Here is a 21,935-nt window from a genome sequence, read left to right as displayed (position 1 = left end):
TAAGCATATGAAAAGATGCTCAGCCTCATTAGACATTAGGGAAATGCAAACTAAAACCATAATGAGATACAACTATGTACCTATTAAAATGGCTAAAATTAAAAACTGATTAGCTAGTGTTGGCAAATATGGGAGGAACTGGAATTCTTGCACAGGGCTGGTGGAAATGGTCCCGCCACTCTGGAAAATAGAATGGTAGTTTCTTAAAAATTTAGTATACATCCACCATGACTGCCATTCTACTAGATGTTTATCCAAGAGAAATGAAAGTACCTATCCATACAAAGACATGTACACAAATGTTGGAAGAAGCTTTATTTGTAATAGCCAAAACCTGGAAAGACCTCAAACACACGTCAAAAGCTGAGTGGGTGAACACACTGTGGCTTATCTATAGAATGGAATATTACGCAGCAGCAAAAAGGAATGAACTATTGATGGACACCCCAACATAGATGGACATCAAAACTGATGAGTGAAAGAGGCAAGACAAAAAAAGTACATGTTGTATTAATGCACTCATTTATGATTTACAAAATTTTTTTTTTAAACAAGGTCTCACTTGTTTAAAAAAAGTGAGTGCAATCTTGGGTAACTGCAGCTTCGATTTCTCAGGCTCGGGTGATTCTTCCATCTCAGACTCCTGAGTAGCTCAGACTGCAGGTGTGCGCCACCATGCCCACTCATTTTTAAAATTTTTTTGTAGAGACGGGGTTTCCCAATGCTGTCCAGGCTGGTCTTGAATTCCTGGCCTCAAGAGATCTGCCCGCCTTGGCCTCCCAAAGTGCTGGGATTACAGGCATGGGCCACCAACACGCCCGGCTCATTTTAAAAATTTTTGGTAGAGATGGGGTCTCCCTCTGTTCCCCAGGCTGGTCTCGAACTCCTGGGCTCAAGTGATCCTCTCCACTCAGCATCCCAAAGTGCTGGATTTTACAGGCATGAACCACCACACCCGGCCTATCAACATTTCAAAGAATTAAGTGGAGAGGGACGTAATGCCTCTTGGGTGTCTGTGAACCCTTGTAGGCTGGGTTTCCGTCTTTCTCTGAACACACGCACCTGTGGACGTGCCAGGTCCCTGGGAGCTCCCTTTACAGATGTGTAGAGACGGAGCGGCAGCGCTGATGTCTCTTCCCATGCTGTGGCCCCAGCATGCAGGGCGAGGGACGGCCCAGGGGTTGGTGCACTTGCGTCCGAGGGGTCGAGGGGCCCCTCACACGTGTGTCCTCTCGGGCAAGCTCCCTGCCATTCATTTCTGGGTCTTGTGACAGAGACAGACGACGGAGCCTCGTGCTGGATGGGAGCTGGATGGGAACTGCTTGGTGCACAGGTGGGGGTCCTCCCAGTCCGCAGCCTCAGAATCACCTGCAGGGCTGACTGCGGCCCACCTGTCTCTGCCTCAGTAGGTCTGGCCTGAGGCCCTGCAATGTGCCTTTCTAACAAGCTTCCAGGTGAGGCTGCTGCCACTGGCTCCATCGCCACCAAGGACCACCGACCCAGGGGCTCTTGAGGGCTCTTCAAGGATGTGGCAGAAGCCACAGAGGTCAAAGGGCACACAAGGAAGAGGTGGAAGACCACCCCTGAGGGCCCCCGAAATCCCTGTGGCCACGAGTTACAGAAGCTGGCGCAGGGAACAGCCATGACGGTGCAACTCTGAAGGGGACCAGAGGGTGGCGAGGGTGTCTAGGGCAGGGGATGTGAGTCCATGGGGCAGGCTCAGCTATACATGCTGACCTCCCAATCCGGACACTCCAGCCATCCCCAAGGCTGAACTCCCCCAACCCTGACACCCCCCAGGGGTGACCTCCCCTAACCCAGACACCCCCCAAGAGTGACCTCCTCCCACCCTGACTCCCCCCAAGAGTGACCTCCCCCAACTCAGACACCCCCCAAGGCTGACCTCCCCCAACCCAGACACCCCCCAAGGCTGACCTCCCCCAACCCAGACACCCCCCAAGGCTGACCTCCCCCAACCCAGACACCACAAGGCTGACCTCCCCCAAACCAGATACCCCCCAAGGCTGACCTCACCCAACCCTGACACCCTCCGAGGTTCACCTCCCTCAACCCAGACACCCCCCAAGGCTGACCTCTCCACCCCGGCGTCCCCCCCAGGCTGACCTCCCACAACCTGGACACCCCAGCCACCCCCAAGGCTGACCTCCCCCAAGGCTGACCTCCCCCACCCAGACAATCCCAAAGGTGACCTTCCCCCACCCAGACAAAACACCCTCCATCAAGGTTGACGTCCCCCAACTCTGAAACCAACCCCCATCCAGATTGACCTCTCTGCACCTGGACACCCCACCTGCCAACCAGGCTGACCTCCCCCTACCCAGACACCCCCAAGGCTGGCCTGCCCTCACCCTGATGCCCCCCAAGGCTGACCTCACCCGACCCTGACACCCCCCAAGGCTGACCTCCCCAACCATGACACCCCTCCCAACGCTGGCCTGCCCTCACCCTGATGATGCCCCCCAAGGCTGACCTCCCCCAACCCTGACACCCCCCCAAGGCTGGCCTGCCCTCACCCTGATGCCCCAGCCCCTCTCAAGGTGAGTCCTATGGGGCCCTCCTTACCAGGGGTGTTCCCCGAACGTGTTGGGAGCTCCTGCCCCCTGGTGTCCAGAGCGGGCACTACGACACCCCACAGAGGAACTCTGGAATTCTAGAGGCTGGGATCCCTGCCTGACATGTCGGTTAGTTACCAACTCACAAAGTCAGGCATACACAATCATTAAAACAAACATTTTTAATTAAATTTTCAAACATGAAAGTATAAACGTTAATATTTGTTGAAAAATATATACGGCATTTCCCCCGTGTGAACACAATGGCTTCCGGTAACACTACCCACTTACAATGAGATCTTTTAGGCACTTGGGTGTAGAATGTGCGAGAGGGAAATGCAACTTTACTTTCCTGCTACCTATAGGGGCAACCACAATTAGATCTCATGAAATATTGTTTTCAACACTGTTAGCATTAACACCGACTTAAAACATACGGTGACCGGACATATAACCTTTAAAGTCCCAGTATATTTAAAACAGGAGAAATCTGATAAGTTGTTAGGATTCTAAATTCCTTTTAGTCTGTTCACTGAGATATTAAATTTCAGTAGACAGAACCCAAAAAGAGATTTCATTTCTTTCTAATCACTTTGGCTTCTTTCTTTTTTGTTAAGTAGGTAAAAACCTTCTTGGTGGGCACCTAAGCAGGATGCAGCCAATAGTTCATGAACCAGCTGCGCACGTGAGGCTTAAAATCTAAGATGCTGCTGAAGTGGCTGCGGGAGGAGCGGCTGCGACTTACTTTTAATTTCAAATCAGCTGCAGATGTTTGGGAGCCCTCTCGATGAACAGAACAAATCACATAACATGCAGAATCCACTCAGAGGCTGTTATTCCAGGGAAAGAGTGGGCAGGTGTCCTGAGGAGTACATTCTTGCTGTCACAGTCTCACTGCTGGCACAGAGGTGCCTTGTTTATGAGATTTAAAGGCCACAAACTCTGGCTCAGGTGGGGACAAGGGTGTGCCGTGGCTGAAACCAGCGTGGTCACTGTGTGGCTGGCACGGCCTGCACATGCTGCAGGAGCTGCTCGCAGTAGGTGGCCGAGCGGTGCTTGTGGATGACGGCCTCCGTCTCCCTCACCAGGAGATCTGGGAACAGCCCGCTGCCCTCTTTGAGGACCTCTGTAAAACAGAAAAACACCTTGAACATGCCAGAAACAAACATGAAACCAATCTTACCTCTCGTGCAAATTGGCTTTGTAGTGAAGTTCAAGCATCTGTAAAAGCATCTGCAAATAACCTGACGCTGCTGGGTGGACATACAGTAGTCACAATGCGGATACGAGTGATCCGACTCACAATGTGGGGACGAATGACCTGACGCTGCTGGATGGGGACACAGTAGTCACAATGTGGATACGAGTGACCCGACTCACAATCTGGGGACGAATGACCTGACGCTGCTGGATGGGGACCCAGTAGTCACAATGTGGATACGAATGACCTGATCCTGCTGGATGGGTGTCCAGCGATCATAATGTGGATACAAGTGACCTGATGCTGCTGGCCACGTGCACGGCAGTCCCAGTGTGGACACGAGCGACCTGATGCAGCGGATGGGTGCACAGTAGTCATAACGTGGATATAAGTAAGCTGACACTCTGGACGGGTGGACGGCAGTCAGAATGTGGATACGAATGACCTGAGTCACAACGTGGACAAGTGACCTGATGCTGCATGGTCACTATGTGAATATGAGGAACCTGATGCTGCTGGGTGGGTGCACGGCAGTCACAACGTGCATTCAAAGAACTGAAAATCGCCTCCTGGCAGTTGTGGGCAGACCATGAAATGATGTCCTGCAGAGTCTTCAGGTGGCATTTTTGGGCTTAGAAACAGGTTTCACAGGAGCAAATAGGCTCAGAAAAACAGGCGACTTTCTTATCCAATTTGCGGATGCCAATTCACCTGCCGCAGTGACTGCAAACCTCCCACGGGCCAGGCATCACCGACACAGCCGGAAATGAACCCATGCTTACGGAGGGTTCATCGGGAAGCAGTGGCCGATGATGAAAATCAGGAAGGCAAACGTGTCAGGGGCTCGTGGTGGTGTGTGTGATGGGGGCAGTGGGAGCTGCAGGGGTGGGGGCCAGAAAGGGTTGGGCGTGTCTAGCTGAGGCAGGAAGAGGATGGGGAGGTTGCTGCAGTGGCTGGGGAGTCTATCAGATTCTGCTGGGAGTTAAGAGGGGGTCCAGGAGGACCTCAAGGTCTCCGCCTTCAGTCTTGAGGACAGATGGCCACTGAGCCACTGAGGGTGGCGGAACCCGGCAGGCAGTCAGGGAGGGGGGTAGCGGCCCAGGGTTCGGCACCAGGCAGCTGCACTTGTGTGTGGAGCTGAGGCCAGGAGAAGAGCTCTGAGGGAGCGGTGCAGACACAGCAGAGGAGCAGTGAGGGGCCCACATGGGCGAGGGAAAGACCAAGAGACTGAGCACGGGCGTCCCGCAGCCAGAGGAGGGTGCGTGGCCGCCAGCTGTGCCTGGCGCTGCTCAGAGGTGCAGGCAGGTGGACGGCTGCAGATGCCTGCCATGGGCCCAGGGCCTCGAGGAGGGGTAAGGCGGGCTGCTTCCAGGGAGCCTGCTGCCAGGCGGATGTGCGGTGGGGGAGGTGGGGGAGGTGGGGGCGGCGTACAGGGCATCTGTGTTTTGTTTTTTTAAAGACAGGAGAAAGAATGGCCTGTACCGTGCAGTGGGGAAGGGAGATGCCCTGTGCAGTCCTGGGGAGGCGAGAGGGCCGGGGCTGCAGGCTGAGCTGGTGCACAGGGGCACTGGTCTCCTCGGCCTAGAGCAAGGTCCTGAGGACGAGTGAGGCTGAGGCTGAGAGTAGGAGAAGCTCAGAACTCGGGTTGATGGTGTGTAGTGCAGGACAGGAGAGCTGGGAGGGCGCAGGCAGGGCTGGGATTTGCCAGGGAGTGTGGGGAGCTGGGGGCGTTGCGTGGATCTGGCAGGATGGGCTGTCCCAGCGAGGCCTGCACGTGAGCTGCTGTCCTCCTTTTAAACAATTTCCAATTGGTCTCCAATTCGCAGCTTCTTTCCGTGACCTGGAGAGACCACGGGCCCCGCCGTGGATCAATGGGCTCTGGGGCTCCCTCACTGGCTGACAACCTGATTCCACGACTCAAGGCAGGGGCTCCCGACATGGGCTCCAAGGCCCTCGGGGTCCCCAGGACCCTTCAGAGGGTCTGTGAGTCAAAGCCAGGCATGTGGTCGCACGCAGAGCATGCCCGGCCTGCCCGTCACTGTGCTCACACCTGCGCAGATGCGGGAGCAGCTGAGGCCCACGCCCCCTGCCACACTCACCCTCGAGCACACGGCTTCACCTGCCACACTCACCCTCACGCACACGGCTTACACCCGCGAGTGGGCACCAGGTGCACCGCTTCACACGGAGGACCAGGGTCGTGCAGCAGAGCTGCTTTTCCCAGGAAGAATGGCGGACGGACGAGCAGTGCACCCACCCTGGCTGTGCGGACGCGGGATCTGGCAGAGCACGGCGTGAAAGTGAACGGCCCAAGTCCCTCACTCCCAGAACAACCGACAGGGTTTGTGGCCGAGGATACAAGTCAAGCTCTCACACAAAAAATCACAATGAGCCAAAGCTTGGCCCTGCCACCACAAGCCGGACTCTTCTGAGCCTGGTGCCCACGCAGGAGAGTTTCTGACGTTGCGTAACAAGAGCAGCCACCCCAGGACGATCCGAGTTTCTGATGCCGCCGGAGGGGAGGTGGCCACGCCAGGAAGATCGAGTTTCTGACGTTGTGTGAGGGGACGCGGCCACGCCAGGAAGGTCCGAGTTTCTGATGCCGCCGGATGGGAGGTGGCCATGGCAGGAAGACCGAGTTTCTGACGCTGCGTGACGGGAGGCGGCCACGCCAGGAAGATCGAGTTTCTGACGCTGCGTGACGGGAGGCGGCCACGCCAGGAAGATCGAGTTTCTGACGCTGCGTGACGGGAGGCGGCCACGCCAGGAAGATCGAGTTTCTGACGCTGCGTGACGGGAGGCGGCCACGCCAGGAATATCGAGTTTCTGACGCTGCGTAACGGGACGCGGCCACGCCGGGAAGATCCGAGTTTCTGACGCCGCGTGACGGGAGGCGGCCACACCAGGAAGATGCGAGTTTCTGACGCCGCGTGACGGGACGCGGCCACGCCGGGAAGATCCGAGTTTCTGACGCCGCGTGACGGGAGGCGGCCACACCAGGAAGATGCGAGTTTCTGACGCCGCGTGAGGGGAGGCGGCCACGCCGGGAAGATGCGAGTTTCTGACGCCGCGTGACGGGAGGCGGCCACGCCGCGAAGAGCCGAGTTTCTGACGCCGCGTGACGGGAGGCGGCCACGCCAGGAAGATCCGAGTTTCTGATGCCGCGTGTCGGGAGGTGGCCACGCCGCGAAGATCCGAGTTTCTGACGCCGCGCGACGGGAGGCGGCCACGCCAGGAAGATCCGAGTTTCTGACGCCGCGTGTCGGGAGGCGGCCACGCCGCGAAGATCCGAGTTTCTGACGCTGCGCGACGGGAGGCGGCCACACCAGGAAGATCCGACATCGCATAACCGGATGTAGCCACGCCGGGAAACCGGACGCAGCTGCGCGGGGAAGGTCTAAGTATTTTCCAAAGGAGGCAAAAGGCAAAGTCAGCACATCCAGGCCCAAAGCTTCCACACAGCAAAGGGAAGAATGAGCAGAGTACAGCCGCAGGGACAGCCCGCGGGTACGGGATGGGAGACTGTATCTTAGAACCGCCGCCTGACAAGGATTAATCACTGGAATATATGAGGAGCTCAGGCTCAATAGCAGACAATCTAATAATCCAATTAAAAATGGGTAAAAGACCTGAACAGACAGCTCTCAAAAGACAGCATGGAAATGACAAACAGGCGTCTGAAAAGGTGCCCACCACCACCGCTCCTCAGAGAAATGCACATAGAAACAAGTGAGACATCCTCTGACCCCAGTTAAAATGGCTGCGGAAACAAGTCCCGGCGCGGATGTGGAGACAAGGGAACCCTCACGCTGCTGGTGGGAATGTAAATGAGCACCGCTGGGAGAACAGTCTGGAGGTCCCTCCAAAACTAAAAATAGAGCCCCATACAGCCCGGCAATCCCACTTCTGGGCAAATACCCAAAAGAGAGGAATTCAGCTATGGGGGAGAGCTGCACGCGCACGCCGAATGCCCCACTGTTCCGACAGCCAAGGTGTGGAAGCAACCGGGGTGTCCACGGACAGATGAAGGGAGAAGGAAAACGTGGAGCGCACGCAGTGGAATATTATCCGGCCACAAAAGAAATGAGATCCAGTCATTGGATCAACATGGAGGGAAGTGGAGGTCGCTATGTTAAGTGAAATAAGTCAGGCACAGAAGGGCAAATTCCGCACATTCTCATTTGTGGGAACTAAAAATAAAAATAATTCAACTCATGGAGATAGAGCAGAAGGATGGCTCCCAGAGGCTCGGAAGAGGAATGGGGCCGGGGGAAGAGGTGGGGATGGTTAATGAGTACAAAAACAGAATGAGTAAGATTTAGTATTTGATAGCACAACAGGGTGACTATGGTCAACAATAATTTATCACACATTTAAACATAACGAAAAGTATCACTGAATTATTTGTAACACAAAGAAAGTGTAAGTGTTTGAAGTGACGGGGACCCCATTTCCCCAATGTGATTTACACACACTGCATGCCTGTATCACAGTATCACACATGCCTTATATACACCTATGTGTACCCACAAAAATTAAAAATACAAATTTTATTAAAAAAAAGAACAACGTCATTATATTCACCAACAACAAAACAAAACAAAAAAAAAAAAAAGAAAAAAAAAAGCAAATCGTTACATTCCAAGTGTGAGATGGACCAGCGGATTTTAATGCACTGAGCGTGGAAGGCTCTGTGGTGTGTGGCCTCAGGCCCTGTGCTGTGAGTGACCTTCAAGGGACGGCCTGTGTCGCTGTTGGCGTGGTATTGAAGAAGTCCCACGCCTATCTGAAAAGGCTACTAAAATACTCTTCTTTTGTCCAACTACACTTGAAGCCACAGGCGAGGCCAGATTATTTTCCACGTATTTCAGCCAGAGCCATACACATCATGACTGACTGTATGGAAGATGTGAAAGTCCAGTGTCTTCCATCAAGCTACACATTTAAGACATTTGCAAAAATCGTTCTTGCAGATGATTTTGTTTTGGAAAGTATTTTTCAAAAACACAAGCCATCTGTGTCAATATATACTGGGCTTACTATTGTTATTTTAAACAACTAACAAGTATTCTAGAATACTCTCAGTTTTGATTTCTGTTAGAGGAAATGTCAGCAGCTATCACCACAAAGACAGCCGCTCTCAGGGTTTGCCAAGAACTCAAGAGTGTGCCAGGCCGGAGCTGAGGCCCCTCCTGTGCCCCAGGGCCCTGTGGCCGGTCACACGGCTCAGCTACAGATGCCCGTGGCAGGCGCCGAAAGCAGGCATCGGAACGAAGGCCAAGCCGTCGGAGTCTCACCTAAAATTGCATCCTGGATGGCCCTCTCTGGATCGTCAAGGTGAACCAGCAACTCTCGGTACAGGTACTGGACACTGCTCTGATAGTAGGATTTTGCGTTGGCACCCTTGACACACTGCAGCCAGGTGACCAAGGTGGAGGCGGCTGCCATCCTCACATCGTTGGACACGTCATCTAGGCGTTTTAAGAGTTCTGGAAGGAGGGAGCGAGACAGGTGTGTGAGTCTAGAGCAGACATTTCACGTCTAAACGTCCACAAAGGCATTTAGTTCATACTCCCATGGGACACCTGCCCTGGGGTCCTAAGAAACCCACACCTCACGGGAGACTCCGTGCATCCCGAGCCACATGCAAGGTGCTCCTGGCGACCTGGGACCCCTGAACCCCAGCCAACAGAGTGGAGGCGGCCCAGGCCCTGCTGCGGCCCCTGTAATAACCTGTCCTGCAGGCGCAGAGCCTCCCTGTAGCTGTAGCTGTGTGCTCACCTGGTCCTCCACCTCCTCGCAGCTGTGTGCTCACCTGGCCCTCCACCTCCTGCTCCCAGATGCTCAGATCCCCGAGCTGGCCACCCTGCCCAGCTCTGACCCTGCCCTCCCACCAGAGCTGAGGACTCAGTGACAGACAACCCCCTACTGTGGTCAGTTTTCTGCTGCTGAAAACAGAAGGATGATCCTTCCCGATGGGTAGAAACTTATGAGGTTAATGGACATAATTTTTATCAAATTTATGCTTTTTTTACATCATCTTAAAAAAACTTTGGCACCCCCTTCTGTGCAGCATCCGGAAATTCGCAGATGACTGAGTCGCAAAACCACCCGGAGGCCCATCTTCCCGACGCTGGGAGGGGCAGCTGCCCATGCCTGGCATGAGGCCCATCTTCCCGACGCTGGGAGGGGCGGCTGCCCGCGCCTGGCACCAGGCCCATCTTCCCGCTGCAGACGCGAGGGTGGGCTGGGTCTCTGATGCTTTTGCAATGTGGAGGGCATGATCCACCCTCAGCAAGAGGATCCTATGTAACGAAAGGCATGAAAAACATCCAAAGTTCAGGCCATCCTACCAAGCCAGGCTTTGAGACAAGTGGGACCCAGTGGGTTAATTCCTGGCAGATGCCCAGGCACTTCCCTGAGGGTTCTGGGCCCTGAGGGTGCTGGGCCTTCCAGCCACCAAACACAGGCACCAAGGAGGAAGCCACGGAGCACATCCAGGCATTATGGTGCCAAACCCTGAAGCAGCCCTGCACGGCAGGTGCCCTCACTGCACAGCGGGTATGCTCACTGCACAGCGGGAGCCCTCGCTGCATGGGGGGTGCTTTTGCTGCATGGGGGGTATGCTCACTGCACGGCAGGTGCCCTCACTGCACAGGGGGTATGCTCACTGCACGGCGGGAGCCCTCGCTGCACAGTGGGTGCCCTCGCTGCACGTGTCTCAGGAGGAAGGACGGAGTCAGATGCTCAACTCACCCAAGCTTGTCCCGCTAGCAAACATCTATGGGCCCGGACAGGATCCTCCGAGGCCTCCTGCTGGCGCGGTCGACTATGGAAGTACACAGAGTGGCACTGGCTATTGTGTTTTTACGATGGTCACTCCCTGGATGGCCTGCAGGTCCACTTTTGTACCAGTTTAGGGTTCCTTTCATGCACGACTAAGCCAGGCAGAATCGGCTCACGCTGGCCTGTCTGCTGTTCATGTTTGTGTCTGTCTGTCCTGGGAGGCCTGGATGTCTGTGCTCCCAACTCAGGACATCCTTCCTTCCCCACCAAGGAGGCCATGATTCATCCAACACTTCACCCTGGGAAGCCCAGAGCTGGCACTAATAGGCAAGGGGCCTCTCAAGGAACCTTTTGTAGTGAAAATAAACAGGGGGCCGTGGCCCAGATGCCCAAATGCGCTCAGATGCCCAAACGCGTGCAGCCTTTCCGCCAGCTCCTGTTTTAAAAAGTGAGTGAATTCCCAACAATCGCATGGACTGAACTTGTTCCAGAGTCAGTGGGAACAGGATGTTTGTTACTAAAGAATAAAAACAGAAAAGCAAAGGTGAGAGAATGAGTGACAAAGGCCCCCGGACCTCAGAGTTCAGCAGGCGGCGGTTTTTCTGCCCAGCGCCGTGTGTACTGTGAATCTGAAAATTCATGTCTGTCTCCAGTTCTGGAAGATTCTGAGGCACCATCTCTCCTCCATTCTCTTCTCCTGGGATTCAGAAAAGCCCGGGAGCCTCTCGGCCCACTCGGCACCTCTCTCCATCCCGTGTCCTCTGCCCGCTCCAGGCCCCGCGTCCCTCCCCGTCCCGTGTCCTTCGCCCACTCCAGGCCTTGCACCCCTCTCTGTCTCGTGATCTTGAGGAATTCCACATTCCTGGCTTTCACGTCACTAACTTTGTTTTCAGCCACATTCAGTCTAGAGTTGACCCAGTACACAGAGTGTGAAGTTCCGATGACTCCATTCATTTCCGGGAATTAGCAAGAACCATCTTTTAAAAACTGCTAAACATTTCTGGCATAAATACACAAAATATAGATAATCACATTAAGTAGAGCTAATCAGGAACGCCTGAGTGGCCGCTTCCCGCCCACCCCATCCCCTTTCTCCCTCGCTGGGTAACTCCTTTCCTCAAAGTAGTGCCAGCACACCATTCCGTGTCACTCCGGACTTCCCAGCGATCGCTTCCGTTTCCATCTGTTCTTTATTCCTGCTTGTCTTCTTGTTTCTCAACTTGTTTTTTAGTGGATGTTGTTCTTTTAGCTTTTTGAGGATCTTAAACACGCCTCAATAAAGGTAACTTTGAGGTGGTTCTATTATCGGCACTTCCTTCCCGGGCTGGGTGCGAGGCTGCCCTTAGCGCCGGGTCTTCGGTGTTCTGAGGTAGCAGTCCCCAACCTTTTTGGCACCAGGGGCTGGTTTCATGGAAGACAATTTTCCATGGACCAGGGGGTGAGATGGTTTCAGGATGAGTCACGTGCGTTACGTTTATTGTACACGTTATTTCTATGACTACATTGTAACATATAATGAGATAATTCTACAACTCATCATCCTGTAGAATCAGTGGGGGCCTGAGCTTGTTTTCCTGCAACTAGACGGTCCCATGTGGGGACGATGGGAGACAGTGACGGATCATCAGGCATTAGTTTCATAAGGAGCGTCAGCTTGGATCCCTCGCGTGCACAGTTCACAATAGGATTTGTGCTCCTATGAGAATCTAATGCCGTTGCCGATCTGACAGGAGGCAGAGCTCAGGTGGTAATGCAAAAGATGGGGAGCAGCCGTAAACACAGATGAAGTTTCGCTTGCCCACCTCTCACCTCCTGCTGTGCAGTCTGGTTCCTAACAGGACCCGGACAGGTACTGGCCCATGGCCTGGGTGGCGGGGGCCCTGTCCTGAGGGGTTTGTGTGCAGGCTGCCCTGAGTGAGGGGCTCTCTGAATTCATGACTCTGTTCAGTGCTGCTGCTTTTCGGGGGCTTCAAGCCAACCACCCCATTCCCCTCCCCAGTGCTTGCTCTCACCTGGGGTTGGTCTGGGGTTTGGGCTCCAGGAGGCGGCGACACTGAGGCTGTGCCCCTGGTCCTGCTGCAGGGTGGCCCGGCCCCGTCTCCCCACAGGCAGCTCCAGCCGCCCCACCCTGAGGTCCCCCTTCCCGGCCGCGTGGAAGCTGAGCCTTGTCACCCCCACCCAGTGCTGGTTTGGAGACCTCTGCCTTGCTTCTTGCTGTGCCGTTTAATTTGTGGTATTTCATCTGTCATTGCTGTTTGTTCTCATAGTACCAACTTGAACAGAAGTCAAAGATGAGCATTTTCTATTTTCTTTTTTTTTTGAGATGGAGTCTGGCTCTGTCACCCAGGCTGGAGTGCAATGGTGCGATCTTGGCTCACTGCAACCTCCACCTCCTGAGTTGAAGCGATTCTCTTGCCTCAGCCTCCTGAGTAGCTGGAACTACAGGCGCGCACCACCATGTCCAGCTAATTTTTTTATTTTTAGTAGAGACAGGGTCACCATTTTGGCCAGGATGGTTTCTATCTCTTGACTTTGTGATCCACCTGCCTCAGCCTCCCAAAGTGCTGGGATTACAGGCGTGAGCCACCGTGCCCGGCCACGTTTTCTGCTTTTTTTCTATAAAACAAGCCACCATCAAACTTAAATACAGTCGTCCCTTGGTATCTGTGGGGTTTGGTTCCAGGAATCCTCCTCCTCTAGGATACCAAAATCCTCAAATGCTCAAGTCTCTGATAAAAAAAGGCATAGTATTTGCACATGACCCACACACATCTTCCGGCACACCTTAAACTGTCTCTAGATTACGTTTAACGCTAAATGTAACATCCACACGACGCTTCCTTCACGTGGGTTCAACGTTGTTTTAAGGCAGAACGCAACGTCCACACGACGCTTCCTTCACGAGGGTCCAATGTTGTTTTAAGGCCGAATGCAATGTGTACATGATGCTTTCTTCATGCGGGTTCAACGTTGTACTTGGTGCCCAACAAATTCAAGCTTTGCTTTTTGGAACTGTGGAATTCTGCCCCCCAATACATACATATTTATATATGCAAATGTAAGTACAAATTTGTATTTGTATGTATAAATGCACAAACATGTATATATGTAGCCATACACACACACACACACACACACACACACCCCTACTTTTAAAGACAAGGTTTTGGTCTGTTGCCCAGGCTGGGCTCAAGCGATCCTCCTGCCTCAGCTTCCTGAGTAGCTGGGACTACAGGTGTGTGCCACCAGCCCTGGCTAATTTTTAAATTTTTTGTTGAGATCGGGGTATGGCTATGTTGCCCAGGCTGGTCTCAAATTCCTGGGCTCAAGCAACCCTCCTGCCTAAAGTGCTGGAATTAAAGGTGTGAACCACCACACCCAGCCCGAGATAGTTTTGATCTGAGTTTGGGTGACTCCATGGATGCAAACGGAACCCAGGGACACGGAGGGCTGACTGCATATACACAGGCTGTGAACAACAGAAATGTCCTACCAGGATAAATCCTGATGAGTTTCTCTGGATCCGTCATGCCGCCCGAGGTTTTTAAGAACGTGTTGATAATACGGCATGAGATCAGTCGCGTCATCTTCGAATCCTCCTCCAGGGTGGTCAGGACCTGGGGCATCAGTGTTTCCTGCACGTCCCGTATCTGCAATCAGCAAACACATACGACGTGACTCACATCTGTCCTGGGGTGGGGTGGGGGTGCTCACCATCCGTGCACTCCTGCCTGGAAGGACTTAGGGGGCTTGAAAGCTTTACCTAAAAAGTAGGCTTGAATCTTCATTGTAAAATTTAGATTTTGAGCAATTTTTAACTTGCTTACTTGATTTTTAGAAAATACGCACACTGTTCACAACTCCTAGGTGAGGCACTAACCCTAAACCAGGGTAATGGCTCGCCTGGGCCCCAAGGACGTGGGGCTTTCGGCTGGAGCACCGACCGCACCACCCCGCGTGCACCAGGAGGTGGCGCTGATGCTGCACGGGCGCCCAGGGCAGCGCCTTCCCGCCGGGCGGCGACCAGGACGCGGGCGGGCATCAGTGTCTGTTTTCTGACACCTGGTACCAGCCGGAGGTGTTCATAGAAACGATGCGGAAAGCCCAGGCCCGTCCTCTGGCCTGGATCCTGGGATTCGACTCCTGGTCTTGCAGCCAGCATTGGGCCGGAAACCGAGAAACCGCACGCTCATGAGCGGCTGCAAAACCCGCAGCACGACCGGGCTGGCTGGGCCCGCGGCCTGGCTCCCGCTCTCCCGCCTGCTGTCTGAACCGCAGCCCGGCCGCCGGCTCCTGCCCTTCCGCCGCCAGTGTGGGGAGAGCCTCTTGGGGTACGGGCCCCAGGTGGAGGTGCAGCTGCTGCCTGCCCAAGTTCCTGCTGCGGGAGCTCTGCCGGGCGCCAGGAAGCCTGCGCAGTCCCCGGCCGGTGTCCACCGAGCACGCAGGGAGCCCCGTACCTGCTCTGCCGACAGGACCTCGCTGCTGGTGAGCGCCCAGAGGCAGGACACGGCAGCCGTGCGGATGGCCGCGGCTGTCCTCCCCGCATGCCACTGCAGATTGGGGGCCAGGATGTCCTTTGTCACCGTCTCGAGGTAGCTGGGAAACTGCCTGGAACCGGAACGGAGAGGGTGGATGAGGAGACCGGACAGGTGCTCGGAAGAAACGTTTCAGACTAGGGATGAATGGGGCTGAGGGGGGAGCCAAACAGGAAAACGAACTCGACCCCAAAACACGAGGCCCCTCCTCCTCTCAGGAGCTGCTTCTCAGTGCGAATTGGGAGGTTCCTCCAGGCCCAACCCTACCGGGGAGACAGGGGTGCCTGTGCCCCTGGCCTCTCCTGCGGCCCGCGTAGGTCCTGTTCTCCAGAGGCGAGCCAGAGGCCCTGGGCCGAGGGTGCACTTTCAGCCCCTCGCCGCTCCTAGCTTCAAAAGGAGGCCTGAGTGACGCCTGGGCTAGGGCAGGTGCGGTGGTGTCGGCAGCACCCAGTGAGCCCCTTTCCCATCTGCATCCCTCCCCCAGAAAAAGGCCAAGTCTCTCCAGCCACAGAACCCTCTGTCCAGCAAGGACAGTCGCTGCGGCTTCACAGAGGCGGGATGGGAGGGCCACAGGCGCGGTCCGGGGACCCAAGGGCCACAGCTCAGAGAGACGGGCAGTTCCCACCCTGTCGGCGACTTCGTCCTGATGGTGACCAGTCAGGTCAAAGTGCCACCAAGACAAACTCAAAGCAAAATGACACACTCATTAGTGACATCCCAACACCACGGTATGTTTCAAAGGTGGCTCTGGTCTCCAAGACCAGCTCCACAGCCCGCAGCCCTCCAGCGTCCGTGAAGCCTGCACAGCGTCCCTTCCTCTTCTGGAGGCGCCACCGGCTTGCTCCTGGCAGGGGCCATGTTGGGACCAGCCAGGTAGATGAGCAGATGTGGAAAGTGACGTTGGTGTGGTGTGATTTACACGCATTCCGCGAGGTTTCTGGCGTGGGTTCGTTTTTAAGCAGAGCTGCCATTTTCGGCACCGTGACTTGCAAGAGGGCTCTCTGGAATGAACGAACCCAGCGCCTGCTCCATGGTCACCACATGAAATGGCCTGGAAGTCCTGGCCTTCAGGGTGTGGGGTCCAAGTGTGGGCCAGGCGTGCCACACGGGCGCCACCTAGGAGTGCTTAGGTTTTTTTAAATTTTTTTTTTTTTTTTTTTAATTTTGGGGTGAAGGATACTCAGCCTGTGTCTGACAGAAGCTCCATCAGAACTTCTGGGCATTGATCAGAACCACCATCGAACCACTGAATGAGGCACGTTCCTTTTTTTTGAGACAAAGTCTCGCTCTTGCTGCCCAGGCTGGAGTGAAATGGCGCAATCTCCGCTCACTGCAACCTCTGCCTCCCAGGTTCAAGTGATTCTCCTGCCTCAGCCTCCTGAGTAGCTGGGATCACAGGCACTTGCCACCATGCACTGGGGCCGGGTACAGCCAGGCCTGCAGGACCCCAAGACACTATAGTCCACGGGCAGCAGGGCTGGGCACAGCCAGACCCACAGGACCCGAAGACGCTGCAGAGCCGGGGAACGAGGGGCCCAGCGGCTGGTGCTCCGGGTTCCCTGCCCGAGCACATTCCTATTCACAGAGGGACTCGAGGTCCACTGTGGGGCTTGACTTCCAGAAACGGTGCAGCCTCAAAGCCAGGAGCCTCTTGCCCTGAACTCGCAGCCACTTCTCTGGAGCTTCTGTCAGACGCAGGCTGAGCATCCTTCACTTCAGAATGCAAAGTGCTCCAGGGTCTGACCATATCTGAGCACTGACATGATGCTCAAATGAAATACTCACTGGAGCATTTTGGATTTCTGAAGTTCGGATTAGGGATGCTCTACAATGCAATTACTACAGAATTTTAAGAAAACCTAAACACAACTAGTCCCGAGTGTCCCAGGTAAGACACAGAAAGCCTGTGGGAGGCAGCCCTGAGAACCTCTCATGATTCATGGTGTCCAAGGTGGAGACACCATGGCAGACGCAGCCCTCAGCCCTCTTGGGCACCCGCACAGCAGGGACCTGCGTACAGCCGGCGCTCACAGCTGCGGTCAGCAGGAAGGTGCTCTGCGCAGACGATGGTCAGTGGCGACTCCCCGCCCACCATTTCTACTTCAGCAGAGCCAACTTGCTATTTCATGATTCTAAAAATAAAAACCAAACGGATAAAAAAAAAAATCTTTCCTATTAAAATAGCTAGTAAGTTCATTAAAATCACTGCCATCTGAACACTTTACTTCTCTTGACGCCAACCGCCTTCCACAAGACGTTGTTAGGCGCACTTTCTTTGGGAACTCAGCCCAGATGTGGAAACTGTGCTCTGCAGAGTTAACTGTTCCTGGGCAGAACCTGCCCAGCGGTTCCTCCCAAAATACAGCCGAGTGTGAGTTCCAGAGGGAAGGGCCTGGACCCTGCTGTGTTATCTGCATGGCATCTACACAAATATCAGCCTGCAAGCTGGACAGCTGCCACGGCTCTCGGTTCATATCTTTCTATGGTCCGTTCTAAGCCCTGAAGTCTTTGAAGACAAGCAGGAAACAAAATTTCCTGCAGTACGACAGGCGGGCTGAGGCCCGAGAGCAGAGATGAGGGTCATGAAGGAGAAAAGTCTGAGCGCCTGGACTCTTTCCACATGAGGCTCTGGTGTGTGAACTGCTTTCCGCTTTGACAGATGTGCTGCTGGGGCGGGTCCCGGTGCTGACGCAGCCCAGATCCAGCCGCACAGGCGGGGGTAGGACCCAGCTGACGGCACCTTTTGCTCTGAGCAAAGTAAGTGGCAGGGCCCTAAGAGCTGCCTCAGCAGTGGCACCCGGGCGGGGCCTCTTCCTCCACTGTCCCTCCCAGTGCTCCTAGAGGGCACCCATGCTTCTTGCCCTTACTTCAAAGCCGTACACCTGGAGGCCCTAGACCCTCGGGGTCTTAATGCCACCTAAAAGTTGTCTTAGATAACAAAGAGGTATTTTTACCACTTTGACCATCAATAGAAATTCAATCAGTTGTTTGTTAGGTTTGAAAAGTGCCCAAAGGCTTTTAAAACAGAGAACAGCTAATACATAAGCCATTAACAGTTAATGTTCCCTAAAACTTTTTCATTCACTGGAATTTTAATGACCACACGGAGATGACTTTGACTTAGTGCTTCTCTGTGCATTCCCTGCCGAGAGCTTGTGTTTACCCAGTGAGGATGGACTAGCTGCTTCCAGGCCAGTTAAGCTCAGGGGTCACTGCACACGCCCACCTCAGACTTGGTGTGGGGAACCCTCACCCAGAGTGCTGTGGGGGAGGGAGGTGGGGACCCCCGGCCCACCTTAGACTCGGCGTGGGGGAGGGAGGTGGGGACCCCCGGCCCACCTTTGACTCAGTGTGGGGGAGGGAGATGGGGAACCCCTTGCGCAGTGCAGTGTTGGGGAAGGAGGTGGGAACCCCCTTGCTCAGTGAGCTGTTGGGGAGGGAGATGGGGACCCCTGGCCCAGGCCCCAGCTGGGGGCCGTGCAGAGGCAGAGCCCGGACCTACCCCTGGGAGTTGATGGTGTCCGTGGCTCTGAGCAGCACGGTGGACAGGATGGAGAACAGCTTCAGGCGCATCTGCGGGTCTTGGGAGGGCTGCAGACAGGCCCTCAGCGTGGGCACGACGTGTGGCAGGGCTTCTCCCAGGGCAGGGCCTGTAAGACACAACAGAGGCTCCTGTGCACGGCCCTCAGGAGACGGGAGGAGGCCCCATCCAGCACAGGCCCAGGCTCAGGCGCTCCCACCTGGGAGAGGGCACTATCGGCCACCACCTCCCCGCTTCCTCTTTCTCAATCAGTAAGGTGATTATCACAGAAAAGCAGCAGAAAATTTTAACCCCCCAAAATCACGTTTTTCCATATGAAAACCTATTTGGTCAGGCATGGTGGCTCATGCCTATAATCCCAGCACTTTGGGAGGCCAAGGAGGGAGGATCACCTGAGGTCCAGAGTTTGAGACCAGCCTGGTCAACATGGTGAAACCCCATCTCCACTAAAAATACAAAAATTACCCTAGCATGGTGGCATATACCTGTAGTCCCATCTACTTGGGAGGCTGAGGCAGGAGAATCACTTGAACCTGGGAGGTGGAGGTTGCAGTGAGCCGAGATCGTGCCACTGCACTCCAGCCTGGGTGACAAAGTGAGACTATGTCTCAAAAAAACAAAAACAAAAACAAAACCTGGACGTGGTGGCTCACGCCTATAATTCCAGCACTTTGGAAAGCCAAGATGGGTGACCTGAGGTCACCTGAGGTCGGGAGTTCGAGACCAGCCTGACCAACATGGAGAAAAATCCCATCTCTACTAAAAATACAAAATTAGCTGGGCGTGGTGGTGGGCGCCTGTAATCCCAGCTGCTTGACTGCTTGAACCCGTGAGGCGGAAGTTGCGGTGAGCTGAGATCGCACTATTGCACTCCAGCCTGGGCACCAAGAGCAAAACTCCATCTCAAAAACAAAACAACCTTCCATTTTTCTTAAACTTTTCTAAATTTTTTTGAAAAATTAAAGTCAAGCAATAGTTGAAACAACGACCAAAATCAATTGTTTCAGTGAAAGAACTTCTTTAATATCTGCTTCTCAGCGTTGCAGCCCTCACCCCGCCCACACTCAGGGCCAAGCTCCTGCACCGTGGCTGCTCTCCGGTGGGCGCGAGGCTTGGGCGCCTGCACTGTGCATCCTACGCCCCAAGGGGTCCCCACTGCAGTAGGGCCGCCCCGCCTCCCTGTAAGTCTCCATGAATGACAGGGCAAGGACAGCTCTGAGAGTCCCTGCAGCGTCTCCTGCCAGGCTCAGCCTGCAGGCCCAGGAGCTGAAGGCTCAGGGTGGGGACTGGGTTGGGGCCGCAGAAGGAGGCGCTCTGGCCCCGGGCCAGTGTAGAGGGAGCGTCCACTGGCTTATCCAAGCAACTGTGAGTCACCTTGAGCCGTTGCTGGGGACCTCGCGATGTGAGCCTTCTCCCTGGCGCCGCCAGTCATCAGAGCAGGCTGCTCGGTAGTGGACTGAGACCCCCGCACCTGCCCTTGCCACACGGAGACGCAATGTACTCGCTGCTCTGGCTCGAAGTCAGGCCTCGCGGTGAGACCAGCTGGTGTCTTGGAGGGCCTCCCCACGCAGCCGGGCAGGAGGCGTTGCACCGAAGCTGCTGGGACGCCTGACTTGAGCCTCCCGCCAGAGCACGAGTCTTGGGCCAAGTGCCGCCCTGCCACGAGAACCACGCTGCTTCTGACCCAGTTTCTGACTGTTTCACCCTCTCTACATCTTAAACTGGAAACAAGACAGTGTTTCTGGCTTAAAAACAAAAAGAAAACAGCCAAATGTCCACAGGTCAAGTCCAACTCCTGGGATGGGAAAAAGAAGCACGCTGACGGGTGAGCCACTTGCTGTCAAGAATGTTCAAACCTGACGCCTGGGCCACGTGTCTGCCTTCCCAGCATGAGCGCTCCTGCTTGCAGCACGGACACTTCTGCCCGGGCCACCCATCTGCCTTCCCAGCATGAGCGCTCCTGCTCGAGGTAGGCGTGGACACTTCCGCCTGGGCCACGTGTCTGCCCTCCCAGCACTAGCGCTCCTGCTTGCAGCACGGACACTTCCACTGGACCACTTGTCTGCCCTCCCAGCGCGAGCTCCTGCTCGCTGCACGGACACTTCCGCCCGGACCACGTGTCTGCCCTCCCAGCCGGAGCGCCCACTCGCAGCACAGACACTTCCGCCCGGACCACGTGTCTTCCCTCCCAGTGTGAGCTGCGGCTCACAGCACAGACACTTCCGCCAGGATCACGTGTCTGCCCTCCCAGCGAGAGCTCCTGCTCGCAGCACGGACACTTCCGCCCAGACCACGTGTCTCCCCTCCCAGCGCTAGCTCCTCCTCGCAGCACGGACACTTCCGCCCTGATCACGTGTCTCCCCTCCCAGTGCGAGCTCCTGCTGCAGCATGGACACTTCCGCCTGGACCACGTGTCTGCGCTCCCAGCCGCGAGCGCTCGCAGCATGGACACTTCCGCCCAGATCACCTGTCTCCGCTCCCAGCGCGAGCTCCCGCTCGCTGCACGGACACTTCCGCCCGGACCACGTGTCTGCCCTCCCAGCGCCAGCTCCTGCTCGCTGCAAGGACACTTCCGCCCGGGCCACGTGTCTACCTTCCAAGCACGAGCGCTCCTGCTGGCGGACACTTCTGCCCGGAGCCACGTGTCCGCCCTCCCAGCACTAGCGCTCCTGCTTGCAGCAGGGACACTTCCACCGGACCATGTGTCTGCCCTCCCAGCGTGAGCTCCTGCTCGCAGCAGGGACACTTCCACCCGGACCACGTGTCTGCCCTCCCAGCGGGAGCTCCTGCTGGCAGCACGGACACTTCCGCCCGGATCACGTGTCTCCCCTCCCAGCGCCAGCTCCGCCTCGCAGCACGGACACTTCCGCCCTGATCACGTGTCTCCCCTCCCAGTGCGAGTTCCTGCTTGCAGCACGGACACTTCTGCACTGGCTTCACTTTCCCTCCATATCACACCACACCTGTCTTCCCATTTTGCTATAAAGGCTTAGGATAATTGTTTTTAATGGTTGCCAGAGCATTTCTTCTATGGAAATATCATTATGTATTTAACTTCGTATGAGGTATTTGGGTCACTTACAATTTCTATTAAATTATGCCCCGATGCATATTTTTGGGTGCATAGCTTTTTCCATAATTAGAATTGGAAGGATAGATTCTCATGAATGTGATTGCTGGATGAAAGGAGTGAAGACATTGGCAATTCCAGATGCGCAGCGTCCCACGGCTTTCCAAAAGCACCTTGGCACTCCCAGCTCAGCCACCCTAGGCAGCAGCTATTTCACTTAATTGGATAA

At 55.2% G+C, this 21,935-nt stretch overlaps 1 protein-coding gene across 3 annotated transcripts in view, besides 3 other annotated features; it reads right to left on the bottom strand.

The window, feature by feature from the left end:
* The window catches only part of DNAAF5 (dynein axonemal assembly factor 5), a 59,777-nt gene continuing 40,582 nt past the window's right edge, over positions 2,741-21,935 (bottom strand). For 2 of the 3 annotated variants that reach the window (NR_075098.2, NM_017802.4), the window contains exons 9-13: positions 18,598-18,745; positions 15,018-15,168; positions 14,054-14,210; positions 9,072-9,263; positions 2,741-3,699 (exon numbers count right to left, since the gene is read on the bottom strand). Coding sequence is in view for 2 of the 3 variants with exons in the window: in NM_017802.4 (NP_060272.3) it covers positions 3,563-3,699; positions 9,072-9,263; positions 14,054-14,210; positions 15,018-15,168; positions 18,598-18,745 (785 nt within the window). In the remaining variant the exon portion in view is untranslated. The remainder of the gene's footprint in view (positions 3,700-9,071; positions 9,264-14,053; positions 14,211-15,017; positions 15,169-18,597; positions 18,746-21,935) is intronic. The other variant, XM_024446813.2, reaches the window with a different exon arrangement.
* Positions 6,210-7,409: an enhancer, noted in NCBI's record as "CDK7 strongly-dependent group 2 enhancer chr7:821444-822643 (GRCh37/hg19 assembly coordinates)". NCBI's record gives its function as "activates an origin of replication core promoter dependent on BRD2, BRD4, P300/CBP, MED14 and CDK7 cofactors, with strong dependence on CDK7, by STARR-seq in HCT116 cells {active_cell/tissue: HCT116}" and the evidence as "EXISTENCE:reporter gene assay evidence [ECO:0000049][PMID:35650434]".
* Positions 20,512-21,711: an enhancer, noted in NCBI's record as "P300/CBP strongly-dependent group 1 enhancer chr7:807142-808341 (GRCh37/hg19 assembly coordinates)". NCBI's record gives its function as "activates an origin of replication core promoter dependent on BRD2, BRD4, P300/CBP, MED14 and CDK7 cofactors, with strong dependence on P300/CBP, by STARR-seq in HCT116 cells {active_cell/tissue: HCT116}" and the evidence as "EXISTENCE:reporter gene assay evidence [ECO:0000049][PMID:35650434]".
* Positions 20,535-21,062: an enhancer, noted in NCBI's record as "H3K27ac-H3K4me1 hESC enhancer chr7:807791-808318 (GRCh37/hg19 assembly coordinates)". NCBI's record gives its function as "activates a minimal SCP1, AML or CMV promoter by ChIP-STARR-seq in naive H9 embryonic stem cells {active_cell/tissue: H9 hESC(naive)}" and the evidence as "EXISTENCE:reporter gene assay evidence [ECO:0000049][PMID:30033119]".

This window comes from Homo sapiens, chromosome 7 (assembly GCF_000001405.40).
Source record: "Homo sapiens chromosome 7, GRCh38.p14 Primary Assembly".
NCBI classification, from domain to species: domain Eukaryota; kingdom Metazoa; phylum Chordata; class Mammalia; order Primates; family Hominidae; genus Homo; species Homo sapiens.
The sequence above is the reverse complement of the archived record's forward strand: the minus strand, read 5'-3'. Positions and strand labels throughout refer to the sequence as shown.